We start from the raw sequence: 16,509 nt of genomic DNA on the forward strand, positions 1-16,509 counted from the left end.
AGCAGTATTTGGTTGATTGATTATTATAGAGGATCTGAGAAAACTTACTTGAGGAAGGAACATTTGGCTGAACTCAAAGAGATGAGTAGGAGTTAAGTAAGCAAGGAAGAAAAGAAGACACATGAAGGAGGAAGAATGTTCTAGAAACACACACACACAGGTATATGTATATGTACATGTATATGTATATGCATATGTCTTCCTTAGAAACATATAAACAGCTGCAACATGATTGAACTTATTTACCCAATTACCAAAGCTTATTTTGCACCATGAAGGTGGAGATAAAGGCTTTTTAAGCAGCAAGGATAGAATCTTTGTAGTTTTTATTTATAGGCTGGTTCTTCTGACAACTTTAATTTTTCATCTTTACCAACTTCATGGTCTTCAGTACATACAATGCAATCATTATTATAAAATTATATTTTGACTCAAACTCTAAGGTAGGATGATTCAGCTGTGCGCCATCAACATAGCAGCATGAATGGTAGAGACTAGTCATTCCAAACAGTGAAGGGGCAACGTAAAACTAATTTTAATATTATATGAAAGTACTTCTTGCCCTTGACTGCTTTTTTTTTTTTTTGAAGAAAGCAAACTTTAAAAATTTATTTTAGATTTACAGAATTATTGCAAGGATAGTAAGAGAGTTCTCATATATGCCTCACCCAGTTTCCTCTATTATCGACATCTTACATTATATGGTACATCTATCATAACTAATGAACCAATATTGTTTCATTATTAGTAACTAAATCTATACTTTATTCAGATTTTCTAAGTTTTCCTCTAATGTTCTTTTTCTGTCCCAGGACCCCATCAGGATATGGTATGTATAGTTGTCATGTCTTCCCAGGCTCGCCATGGTTGTGACAGTTTCTGAGACTTTCATTGTTTTTGATACCCCAGGTAGTTTAGGCATTTTGTAGAATGCCTCCCAGTCTGAATTTGTCTGATGTTTTCCTCATGGTTTGACTGGCTTTAATGTGTTTTGGGGAGGAAGACCACAGAGGTTAAGTGTGATTGTCATCACATCGTATCAAGGGTACATGCCATCAATATGACTTATCACTGTTGATATTAACCTTGATCATCTGGCTTGAGATAGTATTTGTCAGGTTTCTGTATTATACAGTTACTCTTCTCCCTGTCCATACAGTACTTTTTGGAAGAAGCCATTTTGTGCAGCTCATTTTTTTTTTAATTTTAATTTTAAGTTCTGGGGTACATGTGCAGCATGTGCATGTTTGTTACATAGTTAAACGTGTGCCATGGTGGTTTGCTGCACCCGTCAGCTCATCACCTAGGCATTAAAGCCAACATGCATTAGTTGTTTTTCCTAATGCTCTCCCTCCCCCAACCCCAATCTGACAGGTCCCAGTGTGTGTTGTTCCCCTCCCTGTGTCCATGTGTTCTCATTGTTCAGCTCCCACTTCTAAGTGAGAACATGTGGTGTTTGGGTCTCTGTTCCTGCATTAGTTTGCTGAGGATAATGGCTTCCAGCTCCATCCATGTCTCTGCAAAGGATTTGATATCCTTCCTTTTTATGGCTGCATAGTATTCCATGGGGTTTATGTACCACATTTTCTTTATCCAGTCTATCACTGATAGGCATTTGGTTTGATTCCATGCCTTTACTATTGTGAATAGTGCTGCAGTGAACATATGCATACATGTATCTTTGTAATAGAGTGATTTATATTTCACTGGGTATATACCCAGTAATGGGATTGCCAGGTTGAATGGTATTTCTAGTTCTAGATCTTTGAGGAATTGCTACACCATCTTCCTCAATGGTTGAACTAATTAATTTACATTCCGACCAACAGTGTAAAAGTGTTCCTATTTCTTTGCAACCTCGCCAGCATCTGTTGTTTCTTGGCTTTTTAATGATCACCATTCTGACTGGTGTGAGATGGTATCTCATTGTGGTTTTGATTTGCATTTCTCTAATGATCAGTGATGTTGAGCTTTTTTCATATGTTCTTTGGCCTCATGAATGTCTTCTTTTGAAAAGTGTCTGTTCATGTCCTCTTCCAACTTTTTAATAGGGTTGTTTGTCTTTTCTTGCAAATTTGTCTAAGTTCCTTGTAGATTCTGGATATTAAACCTTTGTCAGATGTATAGATTGCAAAAAATTTCCCCCAGTCTGTAGGTTGCCTGTTTTCTCTGATGATTGTTTCTTTTGCTGTACAGAAGATCTTTAGTTTAATTAGATCCCATTTGTCAATTTTGGCTTTTTTTTGCAATTGCTTTTGGCAGTTTTGTCATGAAATCTTTGCCTGTGCCTATATATTTATTGCATAGATTTTCTTCTAGGGGACTTCAAACTATGCTACAAAACTTCAATAACCAAAACAGCATGGTACTGGTACAAATACAGACACATAGACCAATGGAACAGAATAGAGAACTCAGAAATAAGACCACACATCTACAACGATTTGACCTTCGAGAAACATGACCAAAACAAGCAATGGGGAAAGGATTGCCTATTTAATAAATGGTGCTGGGAGAACTGGCTAGCCACATACAGAAAATTGAAACTGGACCCCTTCCTTACACCTTATACAAAAATTAATTCAAGATGGATTAAAGACTTAAGTGGAGCTCATATTTAAGGAGTGAGAAGATATGCTCTACCTCTTTAAGGGTGGAGTAGCTCTATAAATTATTTGGAAGTGTCTATTCTCCTCCATTAATTTATTTAGTCAACAATTAGTATCAGCCATCTAGAACCCATGAATATTTATGCTTTGGGTACAGTCCAATACTATTTTATTTTGTAGCTCATCTTGTTCCAGCTTTGGCCATTTGGAGATTTTTCAGTTGGCTCCTGTATCTCTTTGGCTTCTTACATATCATTGTAGGGTTTTTTAAAAGCCTTTTCTTACTTTCTGTCACTACAAGATAGTTCAGACTTATCTTCTGTATTTTTTGCCCCAGTTCTATGATCAGCCACTTCTCCAAGGAGCAATAATTTCCTTCAATGAAAACCAAGATATGGGCTGTTGGTGTACTTGTTGTTATTGTGTGTTGTTACTTCTAGATCCTCTAAGCTGATAGTGCAAAGAGATATATGTGTGTGTACCAACCTATATATCTACACACATATAAAAATATTTCTATTTGTAACCATCTGTATCTATCTTAGGCTAAACCTGAGTACCTACTGATGTCTCCAATTCTAACCTGCAACAGCATGGAACATTCTAGCCTTCTCCTCTTACTTATCTGTCACTTCCTATACCAATAGTGAGAAACCTGGCTCCTACCATCTGCTATTTATTTACTTAATTATTTAATTCCACTATACTTCTATGGAAGTTTCAGAATTGTTAATCTGTACTCATGTACGAAACAACTTTATCAACTAGAGTATAGTGTTTATATACAGTTCCTTTGCCTTTATTCTAACAGATTCCACTTACTCATTTTCCGAGTCACTTAGGTTAGCGCCTTATTTTCCTAAGTCCATTAGTGAGTTTGCTTCATGTATTTGTCATACATTTAAATTCTTTTGTAATATTGTGCATTCCATCCCAGTTTCCCCTGACATCCTAAATTAACTTTTTAAGTTTGGATACATTGTGGTCTATTCTTTGTTCTGTAAAGCTTTATGGATTTTGACAAGTATTTAATGTATTGTATCACCATTATAGTAATATAGTTCCTATGGAATAGAATAGTTTCTATCGCTGTAGCATAGAATAGTTTCTCTACTCTATAAAATATCCTGTGTTTCTCTAATTCAACCCCTCCTTCCCACCTTGAACTCCTGACAACCCCTGGTCTGTTTAATATCTTTCTTTTGTCTCTTCTAGAATATCATATAATTGAAATCATACAATATGTAGCTTTTTCAGACTGGCTACTTTCACTTAGCAATATTCATGTAAGTTTCATCTATATATTTTCATGGTCTGATAGCTCATTTCTTTTTAATCACTGAATAATACTTTTATTTATCCACTCACTGGTGAAGAATCTCTTGATTGCTTCTAAATTCATGGCAATTATGAATGAAACTGCTCTAAACATTTTTGTGCAGGTTTTTGTGTGCATGTGTATTTTCAAATTAGTTGGGTAAATATCTAGGAATTCAATTTCTGCATCATTGTGGTAATAATGTGTTTAGCTTCATAAGAAATTGCCAACCTATCTTCCAAAATAGCTGTACCATTTTGCATTCCCACCAGCAATGAATGAGAGTTCTTGATGCTCGACATCCTTGTCAGCATTTGATTTTTGTCAGTGTTTTGGATTTTAACTATTGTAATAGATGTGTAGTAGTGTTTGATTGTTTTAATTTGCAATTTCTTTTTCTTTTTTGAGATGGAGTCTCGCTCTGTCGCCCAGGCTGGAGTGCAGTGGCACGATCTTCGCTCATTGCAACCTCTGCCTCCTGGGTTCAAGCAATTCTCTGCCTCAAGCTCCCAAGTACCTGGGATTACAGGCGCCTGCCACCATACCCGGCTAATTGTTGTATTTTTAGTAGAGATGGGGTTTCACCATATTGGCCAGGCTGGTCTTGAACTCCTGACCTTGTGATCCACCCGCCCTGGCCTCCCAAAGTGCTGGGATTACAGACATAAGCCACGGCGTCCGGCCTGCAATTTCTTAATGACAAAAAATATTGAGGATATTTTCACATACTTTTTTTGCCAACTGTATTTTTTTTAATTAATTTTTATTTTTATTTTATTTTGTAACTTTTATTTTAGATTTGGGGTACATATGTACATTTGTTAATACAGGCAAATTTGTGTCACAGGGGTTTGGTGTACAGATCATCTCGTCACCCAGGTACTAAGCATAGTTCTTGATAGTTCTTTTTCCTGATCCTCTCCCCACTCCCACTCTGTTCCCTCACGTAGGCCCCAGTGTCTCTTGTTCCCCTCTTTATGCCCATTGGTTCTCATTATTTATCTCTCACTTAAAAGTGAGAACATGCAGTATTTGGTTTTCCACTCCTGCATTAGTTTGCTAAGGATAATGTCCTCCAGCTCCATCCTTGTTCCTGTACAGGACATGCTCTCGTGTTTTTTTTCTTTCTTTTTATTTTAATGGCTGAATAGTATTCCACGGTGTCTATGTACTACATTGTTTTTTTTTAAACCCTGCATACCATTGATGGGCATTTAGGTTGATTCCATGTTTTTGCTATTGTGAATGGTGTTGCAATGAACCTACATGTGCATGTGTCTTTATGGTAGAACAATTTATATTCCACTGGGCATATACCCAGGAATGGGATTGCTGGGTTGAATGGTAATTCTCCTTTTAGGTCTTTGAGGGATTTCCACACTGCTTTCCACAATGGGTGAACTAATTTACACTCCCACCAGCAGTGTATAAGTCTTCCCTTTTCTCCATAACCTCCCCAGCATCTGGTTTTTTTTGTTTGTTTGTTTGTTTTTTTAGTATTTAATAATAGCCATTCTGACTGGTGTGAGATGATATCTCATCATGGCTTTAATTTACATTTCTCTAATGATTAGTGATATGTAGCATTTTTTCATTTGTTGCCAACTGTATGTATTTTTCAATGAGGTGTACATCAGATCTTTTGCCCATTTTAAAAGTGGGGTTTTGGGCTGGGCGCAGTGGCTCACGCCTGTAATCCCAGCACTTTGGGAAGCTGAGGCAGGCAGATCACCTGAGGTCAGGAGTTCGAGACCATTCTGGCCAACATGGTGAAACCCTGTCTCTACTAAAAATACAAAAATTAGTCGGACATGGTGTCGGGCACTTGTAATCCCAGCTACTTGGGAGGCTGAGGCAGGAGAATCACTGGAACCCAGGAGGTGGAGGTTGCAGTCAGCTGAGACTGAACCATTGCACTCCAGTCTGGGCAACAAGAATGAAACTCCATCTCAAAATACATACATACATACATACGTACATACATAAAATTGGGTTTTTGTTTTCTTTTTGTTGAGTTTGAGGAGTTTTTTTGTATATTTTGATTACAAGTCTTTTATCAGCCATGTGTTTCACAAATAATTTCTCCCAGTTTGTGGCTTATCTTTTCACTCTCTTAATTGTTTTTTTCAAAGTAGAAATTTAAATTTTAATGAAGCCCAATTTATTAATTTTTTTCTTCCATATTGTGCTATTGGTGTTGTATATAAAAACTTACTACCAAATTCAATATCATATAGAATTTTTTCTGTTTTCTTCAAGAAGTAGTTTTATAATTTTGCATTATATGTTTAGATCAATGATTCACCTTAAGTTTTGTTTAAGGTGTAAGGTTTGTGTATAAGTTTTTCTTTTTCCACATCAATGTCCAGTTGCTTCAGCAACATTTTCTTTTTATATATATCTTAAGGGTAATCAGCGCAATATTTTCTGAAAAGATGACCTTTTTCTCATTTAATTGGCTCTTCTTTGTCAAAGATCAGTTGACCTTATTTGTGTGGATCTATTTCTGGACTTCTTACTCTGTTTCACTAGTCCATCTGTTTATACTTTAACCAGTACCATACTGCCTTTATTACTGTAGCCTTTATGGTAAGTCTTGAAATGAAATAGTGCAAGTGCTCCACCTTCTTCAGAATTTTGTTCTTCTTCAGTATTAAAGGCTATTCTAGGTCTTTTGCCCTTCTTTAAACATGTTGGAATCAATTGTCAATATCTACAAAATAGATTATTGGGATTTGGATTTAGATTACTCTGAATCTGTTAATTAAGTTGGGAAGAATTGACATTTTATCAATATTGAATAATATGAACATGTAATAATATTGAACTTTCAATCTCTATTATCTCTTCATCATTTTAAGATCTTCTTTCATTTTTCATTGTTTTATAGATTTTTACATATAGGCCTTGTACATACTTTGTTAATTTATATCTTAGTATTGAATGTACTATTATAAATGGTATTTTCTAAACTTTGAATTCCTGTTATTCATGATGATATGTAGGAAAGAAATTGACTTTTGTATATTGACATTAGATCCTTTAACCGTGGCATCATTACTTATTAGTTCCAGGGGAGATTTTGTTGTTGTTGTTGATTCATTGGAATTTTCTGCATAGATAATCATGCCATCTGTGAATAAAGATGTTTTATTTCTTCCTTCCCAATCTATATATCTTTTATTTCTTTTTTTGCCTTATTGCACTTGCTGGTATTTCTAGCATAATGTATAATAGGAGGAATGAGATAAGATATCTTAGAATTATCCTCATCTTCAGGGGAAAGTGGTTAGTTTTTTGTCATTAAGAATAATGTTAGCTATTGTTTTTTTAAATTTCCTATATGAAATTGAGGAAATTTCTGTCTATTCTGAATTTGCTGAGTTTTTAATCATAAATAGCTGTTGAATTTTGTCAAATAGTTTTCCTGTGTCAATTAATATGATCATATGACTTTTCCCGTTTTCACTGTTAATGTGGCAGATTATATTGATTTATTTTCAAATGTTGAATTTGCCATCAGACATGGAATAAATCCCATTTGTTCATGATGTATAATTTATTTTATGCATCGTTTGTTCTGTCTTGCTAACATTTTGTTGAGATTTTGTGCCAGTGCTCAGGAGAGATATTGGTCTCTAGTTTTACTTTCTTATAATATCTTTATCTGATTTGGGTATTAGGATAATTCTAGACTCAGAATGAGTTAGGATGTGTTTTCTCTGCCTGTTTACTAACACAGATTGTAGAGAATTGGCACAATTTCTTTCTTGAAGATTTGTTAGAAGTAATCTTGCCACCACCTGAGCCAGATGATTTCTTTAGAAGGTAATTAGTTATTGAATCAATATATTTAATATATATAGAGATATTTAGGCTATTTATTTCTCCATGTGTGAGTTTTGGTAGTTTGTGTATTTCAAGGAATTGGTCCATTTCATCCAAATTATCAAATTCGTGAGCATAGAGTTGTTCATAATATTCCTTTATTATCCTTTTAATCTCCAAGAGACCAGTCGTGGTGACTTCTCTTTCATTTATGATATTGGTAATTTATGTTTTCTGTCTCTCTTTTTTTTTTGCCAGAGTCTAACTCTGCCACCCAGGCTGGAGTGCAATGGTGTGATCTCTGCTCACTGCAACCTCTGCCTCTTGGGTTCAAGTGATTCTCATGTGTCAGCCTCCCGAGTAGCTGGTATTACAGGCATGCTCCAATACACTTGGCTAATTTTTTTTTTTGTATTTTTAGTAGAGATGAAGTTTTACCATGCTGGCCAGGTTGGTCTTGAACTCCTGGCCTCAAGTGCTCTGCCTGCCTCGGCCTCCCAAAGTGCTAGGATTACAGGCGTGAGCCACCGTGCCCGGCTTCTTTTTCTTAATTAGCCTGAATAGAAGTTTATCAATTTTATTGCTCTTTTAAAATAACCAGTTTTTGTTTCACTGAGTTTCTTTATCATGTTTCTGTTTTCAATTTTATTGGCATCTGCTCTAATTTCAGATGCTCCTTGACTTATGATGGGGTTGTGTCCCAGTACATCCACTGTAATTTGAAAATATCATAAGTCTTTTGACTTATGTAATGCATCTAACCTACCAAACATTATCGCTTAGCCTAACCTCCCTTAAATGTGCTCAGAACACATACATTAGCCTACAGTTGAGCAAAATGATCTGGCAACAAAACACACTATAGAGTATTGATGGTTTACCCCGATGATCACATAGCTGACTGAGAGCTGCGGCTTGCTGCTGCTGCCCAGCATTAAGTGAGAGTATTGTTCCATATATTGCTAGCACAGAAGATCTAAATTGAAAATTCAAAATACAGTTTCTACTGAATGCATGCATATTACTTTTGCACCATTGTGAAGTCAAAAAAAATAATAAATCAAACCATCTTAAGTTGGGAACTGTCTATATTATTCTTTCTCTTCTGCTTGCTTTAAGCTTATCTAGTTTTTTTCTTCTCTAGTTTCCTTAGGTGGTGGCTTAGGTTGGTTATTGATATTATATATTTTTCTTATCTAATATATTTACTTAATGCTATGAATTTTTCTCTAAGCACTGCTTTTCCTGCATCCCACAAATTTTGATGTTCTATTTTTATCTTCATTTAGCTCAAAATAGTTTACCATTTATTTTGAGGCTTTTTCTTTGACTCATACGTTCTTTAAAAGTGTGTTGTTCAATCTCTAAATATTTCGATATTTTCCAGCTATCTTTCTGTTGATTTCTAATTTATTTCCAATTTGGTGTGAGAGCCTACTTTGTACACTTTCTGTTCTTTTAAATTTGTTAAGGGTGTTTTGTGACCCAGAATGTGGTCTATCTTGGTGCGTATTCCATCAGAACTTGAGAAGAATGTGTATTAAGTTGTGGTTTGATGGAGTATTCTATAAATATTAATTAGACCATGTTGATTCATCATACCGTTTAGGTCAACTATATCTGTATTAATTTTCTGCCTGCTTGCACTAGCAATTACTGACAGCGGAATGGTGAGGTTTCTAAGTATAATAATGGTTTGGGCTTGTCTATTTCCCCTTTTAGTTTCAATCATTTTGCTTCATGTGTTTTGATTCACTTTTGTTAGGTATACACATATATACACATATTTATGATTGTTGTATCATCTTGAACAACTGACCCCTTTATCATCATCTTTATCCTTGGTACTTTTCCTTCTTTGGTAGTCTGCTTTGCATGAAATTAATATAGCCACTCCAGCTTTATTTTTGTGAATGTTAGCATGGTGTATCTTTCTCCATTCCTTTACTTTTAACATATCAGAGTTATTACATTTAAAGTGGGCATTATTACTAGGATAAATACCAAATAAAGTATTTTGCATGCTGGGCTTAAAACCTAGATGACAGGTTAATAGGTGCAGCAAACCACCATGGCACATGTATACTTATGGAACAAAACTGCACATTCTGCACATGTATCCCAGAATTTAAAGTAAAATAAAAAATAAATAAATAAAAATTAAAAAGTAAAAATAAATTAGCTGGGTGTGGAGGCAGCCAGCTACTCAGGGGGCTGAGGCAGGAGAATCAAAATAAATAAATCAATAAGTGGGGCTTTTTGTAGACAACATATAGTTTGGTCTTTCTTAAAATTCAATCTGACAATTTCCATCTTTTAACTGGTATATTTAAACAATTTATATTTAAAGCAAGTGTTGATATATTTGAATAAAAATAAACCTGTGTTTATTAACTATTTCATATTTGTTGCCAAACGCTTCTTTTTGGTCTTTCGTAGTTTTATTTGAGCAATGTATGTCATACCATTTTATCTTTTCTCTTAGAGTATTAACTATACTTCTTTTTTTTTTTTTTGAGACAGAGTTTTCCTCTTGTTGCCCAGGCGGGAGTGCAATGGTGCGATCTTGGCTTACCGCAACCTCTGCCTCCTGGGTTCAAGCGATTCTCCTGCCTCAGTCTCCCGAATAGCTGGAATTACAGGCATGTGCCACCATGCCCGGCTAATTTTGTATTTTTAGTAGAGACGGAGTTTCTCCATGTTGGTCAGGCTGGGGTCTTAAACTCCTGACCTCAGGTGATCCACCGGCCTCTGCCTCCCAAAGTGCTGGGTTTACAGGAGTGAGCCACCGCACCCGGCTTAACTATACTTCTTTAAAGAATTTTTGTAGTGGTGCCGCTAAAGTTCACAGTATACATTTTTAAGTATTCTAAATACACCTTCAAATAACACTATTCCTTTTTACATGAAATATAGGGATATTATAACATAGTATTCTCAATTCCTCCTTACTGTCCCTTGTGACATAGCTGTCATTTATTTCATTTCACTTACCTATATACTATAATCACCTATACATTGCTGCTATTATGATTTTAAACAGGCAGTTATTGTTTACGTCAATTAAGAATTTAGAAAGAATTTAGAATCCTGTGTAAAATAAATTTCCTTTTATTTTACCTTAATTCATGCATTCTCTGATTATCTTCCATGCTTTATGTAGATCCAAGTTTCTGACTTATATCACCTTCCTCTTGCTTGAAGAACATCTTTTAACATATTCTGCAGGGCAAGTCAGCTGGTGATGAATTCTCTGAATTTTTGTCTGATTTTTTTTTAATATTTCCTTCACTTTTGAAGGATAATTTCCCTGCATCTAGAATTCTAAATTGGTCACTTTTTTCAACATTTTATATATTTTACTTCACTTTCTTTATTAATGTACGGTTTCTGAAGAGAAATCTGCTGTATTTCATCCTGTTCTCTATGGTTAGGTGCTTCCCTGCCCTGGCTCTGGCTTTTTCAAGATTTTCTCCCTGTCTTTGGTTTTTCTACAGTTTGAATACAATATGCCTAGGTGTTGTTTGTTTTGTTTTTTTGTAAGGAGTGGCATGTATTTATCTTCTTGATACTCCCTGAGCTTCCTGGATCTGTGGTTTGGTGTCTGTCATTAATTTTGAAAAGTTCTCAGCCATTACTACCTCAAATATTTCTTCTTCGCCTTTCTTTTTTTTTCTTTCTGGTATTCCAATTATGCATATGCTTGTTATACCTTTTGCTTTTTCATTCTTTTGATTCTTTACATTTCAGTTGGGGACGTTTCTGTTGACTTATCTTTCAGCTCACTGATTATTTCCTTGGCCGTGTTGAATCAATTGATTAGTCCTCAAAGACATTTTTCATTTCTGTTACACCATTTTTACATTTCTAGCATTTGCTTTTGATTCTTTCTTAAAATTTCTATCTTTCTGCTTATATTACCCATCTTTTATTGTATGTTGTCTTCTTTTTCCATTAGAGCCCTCAAACTCTTTTTTTTTATTATACTTTAAGTTTTAGGGTACATGTGCACATTGTGCAGGTTAGTTACATATGTATACATGTGCCATGCTTGTGCGCTGCACCCACTAACTCGTCATCTAGCATTAGGTATATCTCCCAATGCTATCCCTCCCCCCTCCCCCCACCCCACAACACTCCCCAGAGTGTGATATTCCCCTTCCTGTGTCCATGTGATCTCATTGTTCAGTTCCCACCTATGAGTGAGAATATGCGGTGTTTGGTTTTTTGTTCTTGCGATAGTTTACTGAGAATGATGATTTCCAATTTCATCCATGTCCCTACAAAGGACATGAACTCATCATTTTTTATGGCTGCATAGTATTCCGTGGTGTATATGTGCCACATTTTCTTAATCCAGTCTATCATTGTTGGACATTTGGGTTGGTTCCAAGTCTTTGCTATTGTGAATAATGCCGCAATAAACATACGTGTGCATGTGTCTTTATAGCAGCATGATTTATAGTCATTTGGGCATATACCCAGTAATGGGATAGCTGGGTCAAATGGTATTTCTAGTTCTAGATCCCTGAGGAATCGCCACACTGACTTCCACAATGGTTGAACTAGTTTACAGTCCCACCAACAGTGTAAAAGTCTTCCTATTTCTCCACATCCTCTCCAGCACCTGTTGTTTCCTGACTTTTTAATGATTGCCATTCTAACTGGTGTGAGATGGTATCTCATTGTGGTTTTGATTTGCATTTCTCTGATGGCTAGTGATGATGAGCATTTTTTCATGTGTCTGTTGGCTGCATAAATGTCTTCTTTTGAGAAGTGTCTGTTCATGTCCTTTGCCCACTTTTTGATGGGGTTGTTTGTTTTTTTCTTGTAAATTTGTTTGAGTTCATTGTAGATTCTGGATATTAGCCCTTTGTCAGATGAGTAGGTTGCGAAAATTTTCTCCCATTTTGTAGGTTGCCTGTTCACTCTGATGGTAGTTTCTTTTGCTGTGCAGAAGCTCTTTAGTTTAATTAGATCCCATTTGTCAATTTTGGCTTTTGTTGCCATTGCTTTTGGTGTTTTGGACATGAAGTCCTTGCCCATGCCTATGTCCTGAATGGTAATGCCTAGGTTTTCTTCTAGGGTTTTTATGGTTTTAGGTCTAACGTTTAAATCTTTAATCCATCTTGAATTGATTTTTGTATAAGGTGTAAGGAAGGGATCCAGTTTCAGCTTTCTACATATGGCTAGCCAGTTTTCCCAGCACCATTTATTAAATAGGGAATCCTTTCCCTGTTGCTTGTTTTTCTCAGGTTTGTCAAAGATCAGATAGTTGTAGGTATGCGGCGTTATTTCTGAGGGCTCTGTTCTGTTCCATTGATCTATATCTCTGTTTTGGTACCAGTACCATGCTGTTTTGGTTACTGTAGCCTTGTAGTATAGTTTGAAGTCAGGTAGTGTGATGCCTCCAGCTTTGTTCTTTTGGCTTAGGATTGACTTGGCGATGTGGGCTCTTTTTTGGTTCCATATGAACTTTAAAGTAGTTTTTTCCAATTCTGTGAAGAAAGATATTGGTAGCTTGATGGGGATGGCATTGAATCTGTAAATTACCTTGGGCAGTATGGCCATTTTCACGATATTGATTCTTCCTACCCATGAGCATGGAATGTTCTTCCGTTTGTTTGTATCCTCTTTTATTTCATTGAGCAGTGGTTTGTAGTTCTCCTTGAAGAGGTCCTTCACATCCCTTGTAAGTTGTATTCCTAGGTATTTTATTCTCTTTGAAGCAATTGTGAATGGGAGTTCACTCATGATTTGGCTCTCTGTTTGTCTGTTGTTGGTGTATAAGAATGCTTGTGATTTTTGTACATTGATTTTGTATCCTGAGACTTTGCTGAAGTTGCTTATCAGCTGAAGGAGATTTTGGGCTGAGACAATGGGGTTTTCTAGATATACAATCATGTCGTCTGCAAACAGGGACAATTTGACTTCCTCTTTTCCTAATTGAATACCCTTTATTTCCTTCTCCTGCCTAATTGCCCTGGCCAGAACTTCCAACACTATGTTGAATAGGAGCGGTGAGAGAGGGCATCCCTGTCTTGTGCCAGTTTTCAAAGGGAATGCTTCCAGTTTTTGCCCATTCAGTATGATATTGGCTGTGGGTTTGTCATAGATAGCTCTTATTATTTTGACATACGTCCCATCAATACCTAATTTATTGGGAGTTTTTAGCATGAAGAGTTGTTGAATTTTGTCAAAGGCTTTTTCTGCATCTATTGAGATAATCATGTGGTTTTTGTCTTTGTAGAGCCCTCAAATTCCTAATCACAATTGTTTATCTCTTTCCTGACATTCCACATCCAATCCATCAGCATGTCTTATTGGCTTTACTTTCAAAATAAATTAAACTCAGCCACTTCTCAGCATTTTTAAAATCACCCTAATACAAACCCCCTGCTACCTCATCAACTGCAATGGCTTCCTAACTTATTTTGTAACTTTTGATCTTTGAGTTCTTCCAAGAGCCAAGAGTTCTTCCAAAGCTATAAACCCTATCATTGGCACTCCTCTGCTCTATGGAAAGCAGTGGCTTCTCATCTCTTTCAGAGTATAATGCAAAGCTCTCACCTTAGCTGGCATGGCCCTGTGGGATTGGCCTCCCTTGTCTTACTTTTTCCTTGTTCAGGCTGCTGTGACCTCTCTGGTCTTTGGCTCTTACTAGAAACCTTTGAACCCGTTTCCTTCCCAGTGTCAGTATTTGTGTGTTGTTCGTTCACCCTTCTCACTTCATTCTGGTTTCTACAGCACAGAGAAGTAGTAGTCCCTGATCTAAACACCCTCTCCACCTGCTTTCCACTTTGTTTTTTCCCCTAGCACTTACCATTATCAGATATCATATATTTATTTGTTTATTGTCTAACTTCCTCACAAAAATATGACGTTGTGAGGATAGGGATTTGGCTTTTTGCCCCAGAGCAGTGCCTGACTCTCAATAACTTTGTTGTATTAAGTGAATGAATAAAATAAAATTAAAATTGATTCAAAGTGTATGAGCATGTGTACATTTTACATAAGTGATACATGACATTCTTCCATTCCTTGGGGGCTCTTTTAACCATTCTCAACCAGTTGTAGTACCTTTAAAAAATCATGATGAAGATGATTTTGAGAGCTAATTTTGGTAGGAGACAGCAGTTTTAGCCTGTCCGCTCCATGTGCAGAATAATAGCCTATTTTATTACATCTGATATTCAAGCACTAGAATCTATCAATAGGTAAATAATTTCCAAAAATAAAAGCATCAGTGGGAAAACAGGGAAATTATTTTTAAAAAAGAATTTCTAGACCAGGATGTGTGCAATTTGTAATCTCTAATAAGAAACGTTATAGCTGATAATTCCAGCAATTACAGAATCATGATCATATCCATAATGGATCAGTAGAGGCTCTGGCTTATATAATAGCTTGCCCTCTCAGGATTCTAGAGCCCCATATGTAAACACAGAACACATTTATATTGATTGACAGTGCATGTAGGTTTCTACAGATTGTGCCAGTCAGTGTTTTCTAAGGCAGTTATGCCATGGTAATTAAAATTATGGGCTCTGAAATCAGCCTGCCTGGGTTCAAACCCCAGCTTCATGTGTCAGCTTCCTTGGCTGTAATAAGGAATACTAATAGCACCTGCCTTGTGGCTTTGAAAATTACATGATGTAACTTTGTCAAGAGCTTAGATGAGCACTTGGGATATGGCGAGTGCTCAATAAATGTTAGTTTACCATCATCATCATCATTATTATTATTACTGATTGCAAGCAAGACAAACTGGTTCTCACTTCAGCAGAAAAAGAAATTACTGAAGTAATTTTGGTTAGATCACAGATTTAACGTGAAGGATGAATAACCAGACTTGGAAAACAGGTGGAAACCAAGAGGCAGTCAGCATGGCATAGCAGCCAGCACTTCACCAGTGTGGTGCCTTGGGGGCAGCCTGGCAGGAGCCACTGCCTTCACTCCTGGACTGCAGATCTACCACAGGACAGCAGACTGAATTGTCCTATGTCCAGACTTCACAGTCACAGGGAGCAGGCTGCATGCAGGTGGGGCCCAGGTCACCTACCTTCACCCTAGAGTCTGGAGCCACAGAAAACAGTAATTGTCCTTGTAGCTTTTGTGATGGAAAGCAAGTCCTGACACCCACCAACTCACATACTAGGGAATTCACCAAATGTAGGACGGCAGCTAAGATGCTGGGAAACCAAGAATTAACAAATGAGTATTACACCAATTAGTTAATTCATTACAGATTTCAATATTTTCCAAAAAACATCCTACAAAGAACAGCTCACTTTAATATACTCCAACAAATGATGAAATCTCTCCTTGGTCATCAGCTTTTCTAAATTTCTGTAACTTTAGGTGATTCTGAATTTCTTAGTGATTCTGAACTTCTAGAAGATTCTGAAACAGAACAGTCTTACTTTGGGATGTATTCAAATCCTAGAGATCAGTCACATCAATCTGTGCCCTTTTTCATTATGTAACATGAAACAGGAGGACCTTTCCAACTTGCCTTGGGAACCTGCTCCTACAACAGGGTATATTATCACATTTAATAAAGAAAGAGTAATATTTGCATTGTGACCCTTCATCTGAGGTCATCGGGACTGTGCTGTCCTCCCAAGCTCCACTGTAAAGGGATAGACAACAACCTTGTCTCCCAGTCATTGTAATCTGTATCAGAGAGCATCATTAGATGAATGAAGATGGAAATGTTCTCACGGTCAGCAGGTGGGGAAGGCAAGACTTGCT

At 36.5% G+C, this 16,509-nt stretch overlaps 1 protein-coding gene across 32 annotated transcripts in view; it reads left to right on the forward strand.

Moving 5' to 3' along the window:
• Nucleotides 1-16,509, forward strand: part of ESR1 (estrogen receptor 1) — a 472,948-nt gene that overhangs the window by 263,058 nt on the left and 193,381 nt on the right. Inside the window, exon 1 of one of the 32 annotated variants that reach the window (XM_011535549.3) lies at nt 13,943-16,488. The exons of the other annotated variants lie outside the window; for them this stretch is intronic. Coding sequence (XP_011533851.1) covers nt 16,458-16,488 — 31 coding nt within the window. The 5' untranslated portion in view covers nt 13,943-16,457. Of the gene's footprint in view, nt 1-13,942; nt 16,489-16,509 lie in introns of those variants that run through there. 32 annotated transcript variants of the gene reach the window in all.

Source organism: Homo sapiens, chromosome 6, assembly GCF_000001405.40.
Source record: "Homo sapiens chromosome 6, GRCh38.p14 Primary Assembly".
NCBI classification, from domain to species: domain Eukaryota; kingdom Metazoa; phylum Chordata; class Mammalia; order Primates; family Hominidae; genus Homo; species Homo sapiens.